This window comes from Homo sapiens, chromosome 12 (assembly GCF_000001405.40).
Source record: "Homo sapiens chromosome 12, GRCh38.p14 Primary Assembly".
Classification (NCBI taxonomy): domain Eukaryota; kingdom Metazoa; phylum Chordata; class Mammalia; order Primates; family Hominidae; genus Homo; species Homo sapiens.
Window position 1 is genome coordinate 51584749 of NC_000012.12, and position 15111 is coordinate 51599859.

General features: G+C 42.0%; 1 protein-coding gene across 4 annotated transcripts in view, besides 1 other annotated feature; it reads left to right on the forward strand.

Moving 5' to 3' along the window:
- Positions 5988-6237: a silencer, noted in NCBI's record as "silent region_4472". NCBI's record gives its function as "represses an Ori minimal core promoter by ATAC-STARR-seq in GM12878 lymphoblastoid cells {active_cell/tissue: GM12878}" and the evidence as "EXISTENCE:reporter gene assay evidence [ECO:0000049][PMID:35858748]".
- The window catches only part of SCN8A (sodium voltage-gated channel alpha subunit 8), a 221632-nt gene continuing 213005 nt past the window's right edge, over positions 6485-15111 (forward strand). For all 4 annotated transcript variants that reach the window (NM_014191.4, NM_001177984.3, NM_001330260.2 and 1 more), the window contains exon 1: positions 6485-6611. The gene's annotated coding sequence lies outside the window, so the exon portion shown is untranslated. The remainder of the gene's footprint in view (positions 6612-15111) is intronic.

Below are 15111 nucleotides of genomic sequence, written 5' to 3' on the forward strand. Positions count from 1 at the left end.
GGGGGAAAAAGAAATACCATGCTGATGCTATATTAGACAAAGTAGATTTCAGAGCAAAAAATATTAGAAGGATAAAGAAGGTCATGCCATAATGATAAAGAAGTGATTTGATCAAGAGGACACAACAATCCTAAACATCAATTTACCTAATAACAGAGCTTCCAAATAAAGGAAGCAAAAACTGATAGAACTGCAAGAAGTAGAATAATCTGCAATTATATTCAGAAATGTCCTTTCTCAATAAATGACAGAACAAGTATAAAGAAAATCAGTAGGGATATGGGATACTTGAACATCACTATTAATCACCTTGACCTAATTGACATTTATAGAGCATTCCATCCAATGACAACAGGGAACACATTCTTCATAAATGCATACAAAACAGCTGGGCACAGTGGCTCATGCCCATAATCCCAGCACTTTGGGAGGCTGAGGCGGTCGAATCACTTGAGGTCAGGAGTTTGAGACCAGTCTGGCCAACATGGTGAAACCCTGTCTCTACTGAAAACACAGCATTTAGATGGGCATGGTGGAGCACACCTGTAATTCCAACTACTCTGGAAGCTGAGGTGGGAGAATCGCTTGAACCTAGGAGGCAGAGGTTGCAGTGAGCCAAGATCGCACCATTGCACTTCAGCCTAGCTGACAGAGTGAGACCCTGTCTTGGAAAATAAAACAAAAGTCAAAAAACTAACCAACCAACCAAACAAACAAACAAAATACAGAACATTTACCAAGATAGATCATATTCTGGGTCATAAAACAAGTCTCAAAAACCTGAAGACGATCAATTCCTATAAATCTTTTTCTCTGACTACATGCACTAAAATTAGAAATTGACAACAGAAAGTAATTGGGAAAATCCCCGAATATTTGAAAATTAGGTCGTATGCTTCTAAATAACCCATGAGTCAAAGAGAAAGCAAAAGGGGAATTAAAAGGCATTTTTAACTGAATTAAAATGAAAATCCAACATATCGAAATTTGTGGGATGCAGCTAAAGTAGTACTTACAGAGAAATTTATAGCATTAGGTGTCTATTTTAGAAAAGAGGAAAGGTCTTAAATAAATGACCTCAGCTTTTACCTTAAAAAATTAGGGGAAATTTGGGAGGCTGAGTTGGGTGGATCACCTGAGGTCAAGAGTTTGAGACCAGCCTGGCCAACATGGCAAAACCCCGTCTCTACTAAAAATATAAAAATTAGCCGGGTGTGGTGGTGGGTACCTGTAATCACAGCTACTTGGGAGGCTGAGGCAGGAGAATTGCTTGAACCCAGGGGGCCGGAGGTTGCAGTGAGCCAAGATCATGCCACTTCACTCCAGCCTGGGCAAAAGAGTGAAACGCCGTCTAAAAAAAAAATTAGGGGGAAAAAAAGCAAGTGAAACTCAAAGTAAACAGAAGGAAGGAAATAATAAAGATTAGAGTAGAAATCAATGAAACAGAACACAGAAAATCAGTGGAGAAAAATCAATGAAACCAAAAAGTATTTTTTGAGATCAATAAAGTTGATTAAACTTTAGCCAGACTAACTGAGAGAGGGGGAAGAGAGAGAGAGAGAGAGAGAGAGAAAGAGAGAGAGAGAGAGAATACAAATGACCAATATCAGGAATGAGAGAGGCGACATTACTACAAATTGTATAGATAGTAAAAGAATAATACAGGAATTTTATGAACACCTTTATGCCCATATAAATAAAATAGACAAATTCCTTGATAGATAAAACTACCAATAAGAAATTTAAAACCTGAAAATCCCTATATTAAAGACAATAAATTTGTAGTCAAAAACTTTCCCTCAAGCCAGGCACAGTGGTTCATGCCTGTAATCACAACATTTTGGGAGGCTGAGGCAGGAGGACTGCTTGAGCCCAGGCATTTGAGAACAGCCTGAGCAACATAGCGACAACTTGTCTCTGTAAATAATAAAAAATTTAGCCAGGCACGGTGGCACATGCCTGTGGTCCCAGCTACTCGGGAAGCTGAGGTGGGAGGATCGCTTGACCCCGGGAGGTTGAGGCTGCTGTGAGCTGTGATGGCACCACTGCACTCCAGCCTGGGCAACACAGTGAGAACCCTGTTTCAAAAAAACAAAAACAGGCCAGGCGCGGTGGCTCACGCCTATAATCCCAGCACTTTGGGAAGCCAAGGGGAGGGGTGGACTACCTGAGGTCAGGAGTTCGAGACCAGCCTGGCTGGAACCCCTTCTCTACTAAAAATACAAAAAATTAGCCAGGCGTGGTGGCGGGCACCTGTAGTCCCAGCTACTTGGGAGGCTGAGACAGGAGAATCGCTTGAACTGGGAGGCGGAGATTGTAGTGAGCCAAGATTGCACCATTGCACTCCAGCCTGCCAACAAGAGCGAAAACTTCATCTCAAAAAACAACAACAATAAAAAAAACCAAAAGAAACAAACAAAAAAACAAAAACAAAAACAAATCGAAACCCAAAACCCAAAAACTTTCCCACAAAGAAAACTCCAGGCCCAGATGATTTCACTAGGCAATTCTACTAAACAGTTAAGGAACATGTAATATGAATTTTACACAAATTCTTCCAGAAAATTGAAGAGAAGGGAATACTTTCTTTTCTATGAGGCCAGCATTACTGTGATACCAGGACTAGACAAAGGCATTAGAGGAGAACTACAGACCAATGCACTTCATAACATAGATGTGCTAATTCTTAACAAAATGTTAGCAAACCAAAGCCAGCAATATATAAAAAAGATAGTATGTCATGATCAATACATTACCCTAGGAACGTGAGTTTAGTTTAACACTTGAAAATTAACCACTATATGTAAGACTAAAAAAAAAAAAATATGCAGAAAAAGCATTGACAAAATTAAACATCCATTATTGATAAAACCCCTCAGCCAAATAGGAATAGAAGATTCCTTCCTCAACATGACAAAGGGTATTTAGAAAAAAAAGTCTACAGCCATCATCATGTTTAAAGGCCAAAGATTCAAAGTTTTCCCCCAAGATGAGGAACTAAACAAAGATGTCTGCTCTTACCACTTCTATTCAACATTGTATTAGAGGTTCTAGCCAGTGCATAAAGGCAAGGAAAACAACGACGACGACATCTAGATTGGAAAGGAAGAAGTAAAACTGTGTATTTGCAGATTGTATGTTTATCAGTAGAAAATCTAAATGACTCTACAAAAAGCTCTACTAAAGGTATTAAATGAATTTAGCAAAGTTTCAAGACATATGATTAATATACAAAAATAATTATATTTCTATACCATACCAATGAATAATCAAATTGCCATATAAAAATAGCATTCAATAACATCAAAAATATGAAATATTTAGGAATAAATCCCAGAAAGGTGAGCAAGACCCATATCTTGAAAACTATAAAACATTGAAATTAAAAAGGACTAAAATAAAGTGTCCATGGAATGAAAAATTTGATTTTGTTATGATATAAGTTCTTCCCAAGTTGATCTACAGATTCAATGCAATCTTGATCAAAATCTCAGTGGATTTTTGTTGAAATTTGACAAGGTGATTCTAAAATTCATATGGAAATGCAAAGAACCTAGACTAGCAAGATCAATATTGAAAACGAAGGGCAAAGTCAAGGGCTGAAAGTACCTGATTTCAAGATTTATTATAAAGGCAGAGTAATCCAGACAGTGTGGTATTAGTGCCAAGACAGAAAAATATATCAATGAAACAGAAGGAGAGTTTAGAACTAGATTCTTACATACTTGAGTAAACGATTTTTTGCAAAGGTGCAAGGGTAGTCAGTGGAGACAGGATAGTGTTTTCAACAAATAGTATGGGGACAACTATATATCTATGCAACAAAACAACAAAAGAACTTCAAACTACATTTCATACCACATACAAAAATCAATTCAAAATGGATTATAAACCTAAATGTAAACTCTAGAACTATAAAATTTCCAGAAGGAAACATAGGATAAAATATTTGGGGCCTTGTGTTGGGCAAAAACTTATTAGACATGACATTAAAAGCATGATTCATAGAAGAAAAAATAATAAACTGAACTTCATAAAAATTAAGAAGGTCTAATTTTTTTTTTTTTAAGAGACAGGTTCTGGCTATGTTGGCCAGGCTTGAGTGCAGCAGCTATTCACAGGCCCAATTATAACACATTATAGCCTCCAACTTCTGGCCTCAGGAGATCCTCTTGCCCGAGCCTCCCGAGTAGCTGGGACTACAAGTGTGCACCAGGACAACTGGCTGAAGAACCTCTGCTTTTGGAAAAACACTGTTAAGAGAGTAAAAAGAATAAAAAGATAAGCCTAAACTGGGAAACAATATTTGCCAATCACATGTCTGACAGAAGATTTGTATCCACAATATATAAACAACTCTTTAATTTTTTTAAAAAAATTTTAGAATCAGAGTCTCCTGTGTTGTCCATGCTGGACTTGAAATCCTAGGTTTAAGCAATTATTCCTGCTCAGTGTCCAGAGTAGCTGGGACACCAGGCATGCGTCACTGAGCCCAGCCAGGATATATAAACAACTCGTAAAACTCAATTAACAAGAAAAAACCCCACCAATTTTTAAATAGGCTAAAGACTTGAAGAGACACTTCGCCAGGAGGATTTACAGATGACAAGTCCATGAAAAGATGTTCAACATCTTTAGTCACTAGTGAAATGGACGACAGACCCACAGCGAGATAAAACTACACATCTATTCAAATGGCTAAAATTAAAAAGACTGATCACTCCAAATGTTGGTGAGGATGTAGAACAACTGAAATTCATGTGCTGCTAGTAGGAATGGAAAGGCACAACCACTTTGGAAGGCAGTTTGGCCCTTTCTTAATATGTTAAATATACACCTAAGACAGGACTCAGTTATTCCATTCCTAGATATTTATACCCACGAGAAACGAAAGCATATATATCCATACAAAGACCTGCACACGAAAGCTCATAACAGCTTTGTTCGTAACGGACAAACATTGGAAATAACCTAAATGTCATCAACAGGTGACTGGATAAACACATTGTGGTGTATCCCCATAAAGAATACTACTAAGCAGTAAAAAAGAACTCTTGATAGGCAACGACTGAATAATCTCAAAACGATTATGCCGAGTGGAAGAAGCCATACAAAAAAGAGAGTTTGTACTGTATGATTCCATTTATTTAAAATTCCGGAAAATGCAAACCAATGTACAGTAATAGAAAGAAGATCAGTGGTTGCCTGGAGAGGGTGTGTGGGGGCGAGCGATGCAGGGAGTGATTACAAAGAAGCACACGGAGAAATTTTTGGAGGTGATGGGTGTGTTCATTACCTTGGTGGTGATGGTTTCATGAGTGCACACATAACTCAAAATTGTACAATCTAAACACACGCAAATATACCCCAGTAAAGCTAATTTTAAATGTATTGTAGAGGGCACATTATGTGATAAGCATACCATGTGCCTGGCTGTGTTAGCAATGTGTGAAGTGCATGCTCCCCGTTAGTACAAACAAGAAGTTTATAAGGTTGCTACTGTGACTGTTTCCTTTTACAGACGAGAACACTGAGGTTTGGAGAGGTTGTTACACCCTTTTTCCCTCTTGTGATTGGTGGTAGGAAAATATTAAGTAGAGGAGAGACACAGTAAAGTGCCAAGAGCTCTGGCACTCATTACCTAGATCCTCGCGAGGGTGGAGTGAGCGGTCGAAATGCTCATGCCTACTTTACAGATGGACAGACTGAGGATCGGAAAGACTGAGGTGGCCTGGGGGCTGTCAGGGAGGCAGCGCCTCCCCGCTCCTGGCAGCAGGTCCCTGTGGGCTGAAACACGAGCCTCCACCTGCCGCTGATTGACTTCTCGTTTTTTCAGTGGGCCCAAGATCCTGTAAATTGAGTTCCCTGCGCTTTTGGATGTCAGAAACTTCACTGAGCGCGGCACTGTTGGGGGGCAGGAGAAAGGTAAGACTTGGCACTGACGCGGGCCACAGAGCACGCGGGTCACCACGACAGCTTTCGGGTCTCGCCGCCCGGCGCTGGCGAGCAGCCAGCCAGCGTCTCGCGGCGGGTCCCGGTCCTCAGCCCGCGGCCCCTCCCGGCGGCTCGGCGGGGGCGTAGTGGAGGCGGGCCCGGGGACGCTCGCTGGCGCTCCCGCGCGGCGCCCCCTGCCGGCGCCCTGTTCCCTCTTGCCCCTGATCCGCTCCCGGCGGCGCGGAGACGCGAGTCTGAGAGCCTGCGGGCGGGCGGCGCGCTGCAGGCGAGCGGGCGAGCGGGCGCGCCCTGCAGGGGTAGGTGGGCCGCGGGGGCGCGGGCGGGCGGGCGCGAAGCGCAGGGAGGGGGCGGGGGCGGTGGCAGCGGCGCTTGCGGGCCGGGGCCGGCCCGGGCAGGGGGCGCGCGCGGAGGGGTAGGCGCGGGGGCGGGGCGGGCGGGGGGCCCGGCAGTAGGGGCGCGCGCGCGGTGGCGCGCGGCGGGCGCGAGTCATCAATTATGCAAGGACTCGGGCGGTGCGGGGGGCGGGCGCGGGGAGCGCTCCAAGATGGCGCCCACCGCAGTCCCGCCCGCCGCATCCTCGGCGCCTTTGCAGTCCGGCCGCGCCTCCCGGGCCCCGCGTTAGGGCCGCCGCTGCCTCCCTCGCCGCCGCCGCTGCCGTAAGTCGCCCCAGAGCCCCCGCCCTAGCGCTGCTTCCTGCCCTCCGGGTTTCCCTTCTCGCCTCGGGACCCTTGAGCGGGGCTCGCCCATCTCCAGTCAGGGGCTTTGCCGCAGAGTGCGCGGCGGGGCTCCAGGGGCCGTGGAGCTGGGGCTCTGCTCTCCTTGTTTTGGACAGGTGTTTGGAACTCTTGCTTCCTTCTACTGTGTGTACCGGGGGTCTCTTAAGAGAACTGAGGACCACCAGTCCCCACCCCGGACACCCTGCTTTCTCCGTCTCGGCTACAGTGAGGGACACGGCCCGTCCTTGGTGCCCCTTCCGCGGTGCAGCCCTCCATCCCTCCCTCAGTGCCGGGCAGAGTTGGGGCCCCTAGCCGGCTTGCACTGGGAAGGGCAGCGCTGTCGGGATCTTCCTACAGCAGCCCCTCAGCCCTCCCCCTCCCCCATGTCTTACTGCATCCTTCTCCCTCAGCCGGCTTCACACTGCTAAAAACTGCAGAAGCCAAGGGCTCCTGGGTTCTTCCCGCAGCCAGCACTCCCGACTCCCTCTGTCCTTTACTCGGATGCGTTCGTCCCCCTCCCAACAGGGTGCTCTGGAGTTGTGATGGGGGCTCCCGGGACCTTCCTCGGCAGGCGAGGATTCCTGCATTTGGAAGCACATCACTTTGAGAATATCCCCTTCCCCCATCCCACCCCCACCCCCACCCCCCACCCCCACGCCACCCGATGCAGAGCTTGTTCCTCTCCTCTCCCTCCCCCACCTTACCATCAGCAGCAGCACCCTTGGCTTCTTGTTAGCGTTGGGGTACAGGACTGTTTGCCCAGCTCCGTGGGCTTGGACCCTCCTCTCTAGTTCTCACTTGGTACCTTGGGGCACCGCAAAGCCTCTGCAGTTTCTCCTGAGAGCTCAGCTCCATCCCCTCCATTGCCAGCAACAACCACCGGTGGAGACTTGGCTAACTTTCCAGGGGTTAGCCAGGACTGTCAGACCCTTTCAGGGGCCCCAGCTTCGAGTTGGGATGGAATGGGAACCATTTTTCAGCCCGATAAATAGGATTCTTCAAACCATGCATTCCATCCGACTACTCCACCCTATGCCCTCTTCCTCACTTACACTGCAGTTTTTGAAGCATGAGGGAATACATTTTATGTCCGGAGATTCCAAGGTTCTGCATCAGCGTTCATAATAAATGGATGTCATCTGTTTGGGGGGAGGGTAGAAGAAACTTTGGATTGCATCTGGCTAAAGTCAGGGGGAGGGAGAAATAATTAGCATGGAGCAAGCTCTGCCACACAAGGAAAACTGCTTTTTATGCACAGTGGGCACCAGAGAGTCAGGGATGGAAGCAGGAAGTGTGGGTGGGGGCCATGGGGGTAAAGGGGGAGAGTGCTTTTTATAACTGTTTTCCCAAGTTTGAACCTGGAGAGCCTTTAGAGAGAGGTAGCAGTGTGTTAGGGCTGGGGGATGTTTTAGCTTTCCAATGGAGATTTCGGGTGTGGTAGGTTTTTCACTGTCTCAAAATCCCTCTGCACTTCTCTTTTCTCCACGTGCATTAGAAGATGTGGAGGGGGGGATGTTGTGCTTTTATTCTTTTCTCAAAAAAAATTTTTTTTTTGATTTGTGATGCAAATGGCTGGATAACATTACCACACGGTACCATCCTGGTAGGAATCTTGGGGGAATCAGACTTAAAATGCTGAAAGCTTTATAGCACATTACATGTAACCTGGTTCTTGAAATACTGCAGCATTTTTCTTTGGAGCTCATGACCCATAAGGCCTTCATTTCTCCCTGAAAGAGGATTTGGTTGCTGGTTGGTGAGGTGGTGGTTGTGGGTAGTGATCCTTTGGTGTTCAGCACGCATTCCCTGTCCTAGAAATTGAGGTCCTCCCTGGAGAGGGCTGCAAGCATGTTCCGTGTTCTCTGAACATCTGATTCAGGGTATATGTAAATGTGTTGTGTTTCTGAGTAGAGCTGGTGGTGGGTATTGCAAAGCAGTTCATAATGGTGCAGATCAGTTATTGGTTTCTTGGCTTCAGTTTGAGCAGCTTTGGTTTTCATTTGGGGTTTTGTCAACTTTTATCAAAATCTTTGGAGGATTTTGTTTTAAATTAATAAAGGATAATCAAGTGGAATACTGCATCCTTAAAAACAACCATACGGTTGCTGTTGCTTTCCTTGTAGGACCCTTAAGAATTTTTTCTCCTGGTCCAGCTTTGGGTTGCCTGTGTTTAGGCTTGTATTCAGGTTTCTTGCTGTGGTGCTGAAAGGACAGTTCCCCGACCAGTTCTGCGGCGAAGTGCACACACACTGGACATGATTGAGTTTTTTTTTGCTTTTTATTATCAGCAGGCTTTCTCGTGGATGTGTATGTACATGCGCAGCTGGGTTTGTACTTGAGGTTGAGGCCTAGTTATCATATTTTATTACTCCCACATAACTCTTCATTTTGGCTGTCCCTCATGGAGACAATGTTTTACAGGCTGCAACAGATCCATATGTAAGCCATAAGTGACATTTTGCTGACTGCATTATTTCAGCACACTTCAGTCATTTCAAATAGCAAGCAACTGTTAATATTCTTGGTCTCCACAGGAAGTAATCCGATAGCTGGCTAAATTAAACTGGATCAGGAGAGCGTCTTCTGTGGGTTGATTTGAATAGTGAACTGGGAAAGGCACTTGACACAGCAGAGGTCAGTATTACTAAAGTCGATTTATCCAAAAAACTATTTTAAAATCATAAAATAGGAAGGAGGCCATAAAATTCACATGGTACCACCTCCCACCCAATACAGGAATCTCCTTTATGGGAGATCTTTGCTTTGAATACATCCGTTGGTAGGGAACTTACTGCCACATAACGTAGCTCATTCCATTTGGATTCCACTGTGATCAAAGTATTTTAATCTCATTGAAAAGGTAATATACATAAAGTTGAAAGACATATAAATTGGAGCTATATCGGGGTAAATGCCATTCTTGTGCTTGTTTCCAAGAAAAGATTGAGAACCATTTTTCTGTAGAGAACATACAAGAAACTTGCACTTACTTGAAAAGAATGCAAAAATAGAGACATGTCCACCTAAAGCAAGAAAAACATTCTGTGAATGGAAAGAAAAATAATTATCTTTAATGTGCTGGTATTATGTAACAAATTGTTCTAGAAGGCACATGCTTGAATTAATGAATATTTAATTCCTATGGATTATGTCTAAGGACACTAAAGCTATACTATATAGAAAGCGTTAAAAATCCAAAGTATATCCAGAGTGAGATCAGTTACCATAATTATAAAAATACATACTTATTGCAGAAAAATTTTAATATATGTAAAAACAGGGAAAAAGTCATCCTTAGTTTTACCATCCTTACCATCTTTGCTTCTACCATAAGCAAAACAATTATCTGTGTTTTATTATGTTTTTCCAGTCTTTTTTTTTCCCATAGAGAGGGAAAGAAGCGCTTGTAAAGTTATCCAGAATGATAGTATTTTAAAACTGAGCCCTTTAAGCTCTTAATTTTATAGTTCACTTGCTAGTCATTTAGGGACTTAAACAGATTGTTGTATCTCAATTTACCTTTTTCTTAATCCTTTAGAAATGTTCCAAAAAAAACTGTAATGTGAAAGAATTCACTCATAGAATTGGACTTCACTCGTAAAGTCTGTTTGTTTATATTTAGCACATTAACTGAGGAATCAATAAACCTTTTCTTAATCAATGAATCAACAAATAGTCTCACTCTGCACCTACTATATATAAGGCACTGAACTGAACACTAGTACAATGCCTCTCTAAGCTGGCGAGCACCCGCTTAAAAAATAATACTGTGCTCAAAAACTGTGGCTATTAAGGTGTCGAAGGAAACAGAACTCTTACCCTGTAAGTTTATTAATTGCGGAAATGTATGGCAGTCTGTTAGGGCCAGCCCAGTGATTTAACCTAAAAAAGAATAGTTTGTGCAAGAATGGGAAGTAAATGCAGTCAAAAGACAAAGGAGAAGGTTTCTGGAAAAATTATCCCTTTGTGAAGTTATGGAGACACAGCCAGGACACATATTTAAGTACTATGTTAGAGATTAAGGTGAAATGAAAACCCAAGAAGGTTGCTATAGTTACACTATTGAGAAGAAAATGTCAGAAGCAGTATGGGCTTTGGAATCAGACAAAACTAGATTCAAATCCCGACTCTGCTATGTATTGGCTTTGTGACCTTGGGCAAGTTATTTAATCTATTGGAGCTTCAGTGTTCCTATCTATAAAAGTGGGAATAATAATACCTACGTTGCAGGGTATTTGTGGGGATTAAATGAAATCTCTGTTTCCTTATGGTTTCTGACACATAGTGCTTAATATATATTAGCCCCCTTGCCTCTAGGGATTTAGCAGCTTAATGTGTATTTATGTATGTATTTGACGTAGTATATATGTACTGTATTGAATTTCAGTAGTCTGAAAAGCAGACGGATGCTTTATCTTCAGTCTGGCATAGAGGATGGAACCCGTAGGTACCCTAACTTGGATGGACATTGCTAAGAAAAGTTTTACTGTACAATTGCTCTGCTGGCTTCCACCAACACAGTGCAAATGTGGTTACCAAAGTACCTCTTGCCTTGTCCATTCCCAAACTACACTAGAATAGGACTCTTTACCCAAAAGGAATGCTTTGGCACTCTCCAGCTGGGCTGTTTTTAGCTGTAGCCTGGGATCTGAAGGTGAAATGGACTCAAAGGCTGAGGCCTGCCTTTATGCTGACTTGAGCTGGATTTTTACATTGTGGTAAGTGATTATACATGTTTGGAGTTGGTTTTGTCTTCAGCACCATTTTAGGTTTCCCCACTGTATAGTCTTTGAACTGCTTTATTTGAATGGGTCTCATAGGTGACCTGCCACCTTTGGTAAATGTTACTCTGTGTTTGTCTATTTATAAAAACTTTCAAAATCCTTCTATCAGTCGATTGAGAAGGAGGTAAAGCAAATATCCTACCCACTTTATAGCTGAAGAAACTGAGTATCGAAGAGCTTAATGAAGGAAGTTGTCCAAGCTAAGGACTATCTAACTGGTGTAGTGGAGACTGGTACCTAGGTTGGTCGACTCATGTTTAGTGACTTCTTTCTGTTAAATGGTGTTATATTCTGATGTTCATATAACCAAGTAATGTGAACAATTTTGGTTTTATTTTAAGATATTATTAGCTTAGGTAGCTAAACATATCTTAGTGAGTGGGTATAATGAAAGATTCTGGGATAGACAGAGGGAGGGCAAAAGTGCCTTTGAAGGAAAGCATTTTGGAAGCAGGAAGGATGAGGGGAAATTAACAGAGGATGTATCAATAAGTAGAATATGGATGAAAACAGGAGGCACCAAAGTAACACACTTGTGTTCCTTCTGTGGCTATCCTAGCTACTTTTAAAAAGGTCATATCTTGGTGTCTGCTTATCTTTCATCCGTGTCTCTTGCATGTAAACACATATACTTGGCTATTCATGAAATCTCTCCCATTGCCAACCTAGGTTGTAACCAGGACTGTAGGGAATTATGACCATTGTTACCTGGACTTCTTTGCTTATGCAAGGCTGAAACTGGTGTGAGACTCAGAGAACAGAATATGCTGGGGATTGGTGATGGGTACGGGCAGCAAGTTGGGGCCAAAGAAGTTCTGGGAGGACTTTGGGCTAGAAGTAGTACAAAGGTTGGAGAGGCTAATAGTTAAGATTTTCCTTGGGTGTATGGAGATGTGTCATACTGAGGAGAATAGAATGAAATAAAAGCCAGAAGCCTGAGGGTCTAAGAGGTACTTTTAGTTTGGTGCTGAAGCTCTCTTGATCCTGGAAGGAGTTGATTGGGGTGGGTTGACTAAAATAGGCGATGGAGAGATTTGGATCACTTTATATTCACTATTGATGGTAGGCATCCTGTATTCACTGGGCATGTCCCAGGATCTGGAAGTGGAAAGCACTGAACTCCCTCAAAAGGCACATTCACAGGCTCCTTTCATATTCAGCTGATTAGTGTAGTTTTTTGTGCTATAAATTTTTGGGGGTTCCTGGGGAGTAAGAATGCTAGAGAAATAGTGGATGCTTACTTATCCAGGGATGGATCATCAAGCTTGTGAATTATACAGTTATTTATTTTTCTCCTTTTTCCTCCATTATGAGCACTTAACTGATCATTAGCATTTCTACCAGCGTGAACTTGGGAAGGGAGAAAAAGTCAAAATTAAAATGTTACTTTTACTTTTTAGATAATGATTGATAAAGGAAGAGATGGCAACTACTTTGTCAATGAAAAAACACCTCATATTTAATCTGTTCTTCTCTCCTTATTTTAATAGTATAGACAGTTGAAGGCTGAGCCTCTACAAGTTTAATGTCCACTGCAAGCTGGTGTAAATAGCATTTTTCTTTCATTTTAGTGAGCAACAACCCTGTAAACAAGTAGGGCTTAATTTATTATATATTTAGCTCCTTGTTTCAGGATTAATTCCTCAATTAAGGATAATGCAACAGGCTTTTGTGTTACATTCACTACTGTTTTTTTGTCTTAGCAGGAAGCTGAATGCTTTTAAGTGAAAAAAATTAATGCATTATTAAATTGCAGGAAAAAAATCAAGCAGGTTGCAAATGAGACTGATAGGGCATTCTCAGAGGTCAGAATACCCAGAAATCACATTTGCTACAGATTTCTCAATTGGATTTCCTGTGATTTGGTGAATACTCTAAAGAGGCATAATGCCTTGTTTGTAGGAAAGATGTCTTGAAGATAATTAGTCATTTTTTAAGATGAGTATTGTGATAGGGAGGGAAGAAAGTGTTTGGAGTGTGACGAATCATCATAGGGAGAAAGCAAAAGAAGGTGAATGACAGAGTGAAAATGGGCAAGGGGATTTGGATGTGAACGTGGGGAACTGCTCATATTTTAAGAGTAGGTATTCACTCCCCTCCAACAATTCCTTTGGGTACACCTCCGTATTACTGAACCAGATCCTCATCTGCTGGACAGGGCACAGAACCTTGGGAAGGTGGTTTTTGTTGTTGTTGTTTAGTTTTATTTTATTCTTAGCTCTGCTAGAACTTTGCTGCAAATTGCTTTCTTTATCTGATCTCTGCATTGAGAAAACTGGAGAATATTTTCTTGCTTTATGGAAAAAAATGTAATATTCTTAAACGTTTCTTTCATTTCCTCTTGATTTTTAGTCATTTAATACAAAAACATTTTCTCAGAAGGCTCTGTTGACAGTTTCTCTTCCATTGTCTTGAAATGTTTGTTTGAATATTTAACAGAGGCACAAAATTCAAAAATCAAAAAGTTCGAAGTTAAGTCTTCTTTTACTGTCTCCCAGTCATGCAGTATGCACTCCATAATAGCAATTACTGTTACTAATTTCTCTTGTAATGCTTCCTGCATACATACATGCACATATACATATTGTCTCCCCCTGCTCCTCACAGTTAGTTCCATTGTCTTTTAAGGAAGACTTAAAATAATTTGAGGATTTGGATTCTCATTCTAGATCATCTTAGATCAGTTAGTTACCCCTTTTCCTTAAGAAATACATAATGCCTCTGTTTTATTTTTCTTAGTAAAATTTATATTCTAATTTCTTGGCTTATTTAATGTGCAAGTTAGTTTGGGCTGAAGCAGCCTTTCCTACTAACCTACATTGCTTTTAGGGTTTTCCTTATAGAATTACCTGTTAAAAATAAAAGTGCAGGGGGAGACATAACCTTGAGAACTATTGGTTCATTGCTGTCTATGAGTGAATTCTAAATCGCCTGCTTGACCACATCAGTCAACAAATATTTAGCGAGTAGCAACTATGGGATATATAAAAGATAGACCTTATGTTCTAGGAGCTTATTTATTTTGTGAAATAAGTCATAAACACAAAATGTTAAATAAGAAAAGATTTTCATAATGGTTGATGATTAAAAAGTTGGAAAGGATTTATTGCTAAATAAATGGTATAGTTAATAAATTGATTTTTTAGGAAAGAGAGAGCATTTCAAGTTGGTATGATTAGAGACAGGTTGATGGAAGAAGCATGATTTGAGCTGGGCTTTACAGAATGGTTGGGTAGAACAGTGTGAGCCAAAGTGAGAAGGCAAGAATGTACAAAGTGTTTTGGGGGAGCAGTGAGAATCTCCTTGTGGCAGATAAGCCTGCAAAGATAGGATAGAGTTAGCCAAATATTAAGGACTTTTTGAAGTTTCATTCATAACATGGAGAATGTAGAATTTAGAGAGTATAGAATGACAGATGATCAAAGCTATACTGTAGTGTTTTAGGAATATTGGGCAGCAGTGTCTAATTGGATGGAATAGAGCAAGGAATGGACATCCACTTAGTTGGCTCTTTGATTTGTCCCAGCTGTGTAGTGATGAAGGGTTGGAGTAGTGTAGTGGTTATAAGGATGGGAAGGAAGGAAAGTAAATATAACTTTGTATATGTGTGTTACATGAATGTGTGTGTTTAACGTTTTTCTAATGTTAGAAATAGT